General features: G+C 36.3%; 2 pseudogenes; both read right to left on the reverse strand.

Annotated features, from left to right (window-relative positions):
* MTND1P18 (MT-ND1 pseudogene 18) lies at positions 2,058 to 2,630 on the reverse strand (annotated as a pseudogene).
* MTRNR2L7 (MT-RNR2 like 7 (pseudogene)) lies at positions 2,700 to 4,236 on the reverse strand (annotated as a pseudogene).

The raw sequence follows: 5,287 nt of genomic DNA on the forward strand, positions 1-5,287 counted from the left end.
CAGAAGCACATTGTTTAATTTCCACTTAATTTTATGGTTTTGAGTAAACTTCTTAGTATTGATTTTTATTTTTGTTGTGCTATGGTCTCAGAGTGTAGTTGTTATGATATGGCTTTCTTAAATTTGCTGAGAATTGTTTTATGGCCAATTGTGTAGTCAATTCTAGAGTATGCGCCACATGCAGAAGAGAAGAAACTATTTGGCCAAGTGTTTAATCCAGGTCCCAAATATCTTTGTTAGTGTTCTGCCTTGATGATCTGCCTAATACTTGGCACTTTTGTCTAACACAGTGACATGCTGAAGTCTCTCACTATTATTGTGTGGTTATCTAAGACTCTTTGTAGGTCTCTAAGAACTTGTTTTATGAATCTGGGTGCTCCTGTGTTGGGTGCATATATATGTATTTTCATATATATATATATGTTTTTTTAAATGTTGTGAGTACATAGTAGGCATATGTATTGATGGGATACATGAGTTATTTTGGTACAGGCATGAAATGCATAATAATCACATCATGGAAAATTGGAGATCCAAACCCTCAAGCATTTATCCTTTGTATTACAAACAATCCAGTTATATCTCTTAGTTATTTTTAAATGTATGATTAAATTATTATTGACTAAAGTCTCCCTTTTATGCTATCAAGTATTAGGTCTTATTCATTCTTTCTATTTTTTTGTACCCATTAACAATCCCACCTTGCTGTCACCCTGTTCCCCACCCTTCCCAACCTCTGGTAACCATCCTTCTACTCTCTATCTCCATGAATTCAATCGTTTTAATTTTTAGCTCCCACAAATAAGCGAGAACATGTGAAGTCTGTCTTTCTGTGTCTGGCTTATTTCACTTAACATAATTACCTACAGTTTCATCCATCCATGTTGTTGCAAATGACAGAATCTCATAATTTTTTATGGCTAAGTAGTACTCCATTGTGTATACATACCACATTTTCTTTATCCATTCATCTGTTCATGGACACTTGGGTTGCTTCCAAATCTTGACTATTGTGAATAATGCTGCAACAAACATGGGAGTGCAGTTATCATTTTGATATACTGATTTATTTTCTTTGGGATATATACCTAGGAGTGCAATGGCTGAATCATAAAGTACCTCTATTTTCAGATTTTTGATAAACCTCCAAATTGTTCTCCAAAGTGTTTGTACTAATTTACATTACCCTCAACAATGTACAAGGGTTACCTTTTCTCCCTGTCCTTGCCAGCATTTACTATTGCCTGACTTTTGGATAAACGCCATCTTAATTGTGATGAGGTGATATCTCAATGTAGTTTTCATTTGCATTTCTCTGATGATCAATGATGGTGAGCACTTTTTCATAGGCCTGTTTGTCATTTGTATATCTTCTTTTGAGAAATGTCTGTTCAAACTTTTTTCCCCATTTTTAAATCAGATTATTAGATATTTTCCATTAATTTACTCCTCCTGTCTAATTGCTCCAGCTAGACATTCAGTACTATGTTAAATAACAATGGTGGAAGTGGACATCTTTGTTGTGCTCCAGATCTAAGAGGAAAGATTTTAGTTTTTCCCCATTCAGTATGATATTACCTGTGGGTCTGTCATATATTGCTTTTACCATGTTAAGGTATGTTCCTTCTACACCCAGTTTTGGGGATAATTGAGTATTCTTATTGAATTGAACCCTTTACCATACATAATGCTGTTCTTTATCTTTTTTGATTGTTGTTGGTTTAAAGTCTGTTTTGTCTGAAATTAGAATAGCAACTCCTGCTTTTATTTGTTTTCCATTTGCTTGGTAGACTTGTCTTTATCCTTTACTTTGAGCCAATAAGTGTAATTGCATGTGAGATGGGTCTCTTGAAGACAGCACACATTTTGCTCTTGCTTCTTTATCCAGCTTGCCATTCTATGCCTTTTAATTGGTGCATTTAGCTTATTTACATTCAAGGTTAATATTGATATGTATGGATTTGATCCTGTCATCTTGTTGTTAGCTGGTTATTAAGCAGACTTTATTGTGTAGCTCCTTTACAGTGTTTACAGCTTTCATAGAAGCATTTTCATAGAAGTGTGGAGATAAATCATATTATGGCTAGGGGCCATGAATGGTAGGAGCAGTCATAAGAATTCTTGCAAAATGTGATGAGTGTATGCAAGTTAAATGAGCCACTTATCAGTAGGACTGATAACAGGATAATGGCTAGGGTGACCTCATATGAAATTGTCTGGGCCATAGCTCATAATGCATGGATTAGTGCATATTTTGAATTAGATGCTCATCCTGATCATAGAATAGAGTAGATGGTTAAGCTTGATGTGGCTAGTATAAATAGAAGACCTATATTAAAATTAATTAGATGATCTGGCATAGGGAGGGGAGTTCATAAGAGGAGAGCAATAGAAAGGGCTATGGTTGGAGCAATAATATAAAAGGTAATAGTAGATGTTGGAGGCTGTAAGGGTTCTTTGTTGAAAAGTTTTATTGCATCAGCAAAAGGTTGAAGCAGCCCATAGGGACCTACAATGTTGGGTCCCTTGCATAGTTGTTTATAGCCTAAGATTTCTCATTCCATGAGCATAAGGAATGCTATAGTGATAAGAGTGGGGATAATGAGTAGGAGAAGGTTAATTATAGGCATGTAGTTAAGAAGAGGAGTTCAACTCTGATTACAAAGTTTTAAGATTTATGCAATTGCTGGGCTCTGCCATCTTAACAAACCCTGTTCTTGGGTAGGGTGGTGATGATTTTTTAGATTGAGATAGCATCCTCTATGAAGTGAGGGCACTTTATGAAAGGGACTCTATTTCTCTTGTCCTTTCATACTTGGAGAAATGTTAAATAGATAGAAACCAACCTGGATTACTCCAGTCTGAACTCAGATCACATTAATTGACTTTAATCATTGAATAAATGAATCCTTAACAGTGGTTACACCATTAGGATGTCCTGATCTAACATCAAGGTCATAAACCCTATTGTCAATATGAACTGTAGAATGGATTGTGCTGTTATCCCTAGGGTACCTTACTCTGTTGATCAAATTATTGGGTCCATATGTATTAACTCACTTAGACTAGTGCAGTCTTAGTGTAGGTTGTTCAGAGGTTGAATTATGCTCCAAGGTCACCCCAACCAAAATTTTTAATGCAAGAATAGTAGGCTAGAGCCTGTAGGCTTGTTTGAGTTTTAATTTGCATTAATGAATTAAAGCTCCATAGGGAGCTTCTCATCTTATTTGTTTATATCTGCCTCTTCACGGATAGGTCAATTTCCCTGATTAAAAGTAAGAGGCAGCCGAACCCTCCTGTGGCCATTCATACAAGTCCCTATTTAGGGAACAAGTGATTATGCTACTTTTGCATGGTCAGGATACTGTGGCTGTTGAACAAATGTCACTGGGCAGGCAGTGCCTCAAATACTGGTAATGCTAGAGGTGTGTTTTTGGTAAACAGGCAGAGTATGATTTGCCGAGTTCCTTTTACTTTTTGTAATCTTTCCTTAGAGCATACCTGTGTTGGGTTAACAGTGTAAATAATAGGGTGTTTATTATATTGTTTATTAATATTAGGCTGTTAACTGTCAGTGGATTATTCTGGTCTGATGTAAGCTTATGCAATGGAGAATGTCTTCATGTTACTTATACTAACATTATTGTGTCTATTAAGTAATAGATTAGTCCAGTGTGATGTTAGGAGTTCAGTAGAGTGATTAGAATTTAAGATAGATGTTGAACTTAAACATGTTCTTAATTGGTGGCTGCTTTTGGGCCAACTGTGGTGGTAATATTTTTTATTTTCTGTAGGAAGGTTGTTTCCTAGGGTCTAAAGAGCTGTCCCTCTTTAGACTAACAGTTAAACTTACAGGGAGGTTAAGTAATTCTGTGTATAAGCTTAAAGTTGAACTAGGAGTCTATCTTGGACAACCAGCTATCACCAGGCTCCATAGCCTTGTCACTTCTACTCATGAATCTTCCCACTATCTTGCCACATAGGTGAGTGTGCTCTTTCAGCTGTTCTTGGGTAGCTTGGCTGGTTTTGGGGGACTTGGCTATAGTTCTCTGTGTAAAGTTATTTCTGGTTAATACATTATGCAGAAGGCATAAGGGCTTGTCTTTGCTTTTCAGTGCTTGATACAGTTCTTTCATCTTTCCCTTACTGTACTAAGTCTATTGTGCCAGGCTAAAAATTTCTATCACCTATACCTTTATTTAAGGTAAATGGTTTGATTAAGATAGTTTGATAATATTTTCATAGAAGTGTGTAGTTAAGTTTCATAGAATGTCTATGTAGTTAAGTGTTTTTGTGGTGGCCAGTAACAGTCTTTTGTTTTCATATTGAGCACTCCCTTTAAGATCTCTTATTGCTCTACCGTAAAGATATATCCATGTGTATGTTCATCACAGTACTATTCACAACAGCAAAGACATGGAATCAACCTAAATGCCCATCAAGGGTAGACTGGATTAAGAAAATTTGGTCATATACACCATGAAATACTATGTGCCCATAAAAAAGTATGAGATCATGCTTCTTGCAGCAGCAGCATGCATGGAGCTGGAGGCCATTATCCCAAGTCAACAGAAAACCAAATAATGCATGTTCTCACTTATAATTGGAAGCTAAACATTGAATACACATGAACACAAATAAAGAAACAATAGATATTGGGGCCTACTTGAGGGTAAAGGGTGGAGAAGAGAAGGGATCTAAAAACTGTCGGGTACTATGCTTATTACTTGAGTGACAAAATAATCAGTACACCAAACCCCAGTGACATGCAATTTACCTAGATTTCAAACCTGAACATGTACCCCCTGAAACTAAAACAAATTAAAAATCAAAAATCCGTAAGCATAAGCAAGTATCCATTGCAATACTTTAGAGAAATCTAATAATTTATTGGGGAAGCAGGGTATCTTCTCTTAACTATAGCTCTGTCCTGATTTATGAGCAATTGCACCATATCATATGTGATGGTTAATTTTATGTGTCAATTTGGCTAGGCTATAGTACCAATATATTTGGCCAAACACCACCAGTCTAGATATTGCCGTGAAGATATTTTTTAGATACAGTAAACAGTTAAATCAGCAGACTTGGAGTAAAGAAGATTACCTTCCATAATGTGGTGGGCATCATCCAATCAGTTGAAGACTGTAAAAGAAAAAGACTGAGGTCCCCAGAGGAAGAGGAAATTCTGCCTCCAGACTCAAGATGCAACATCAGCTCTTTCCTAGGTCTTTAGCCTGCTAATTTGCCCTGAAGATCTCAGACTTAGACTTGCTAACCTTTTGCA

The sequence above is a fragment of the Homo sapiens genome, chromosome 10, assembly GCF_000001405.40.
Source record: "Homo sapiens chromosome 10, GRCh38.p14 Primary Assembly".
In the NCBI taxonomy this organism is placed as follows: Eukaryota; Metazoa; Chordata; class Mammalia; order Primates; family Hominidae; genus Homo; species Homo sapiens.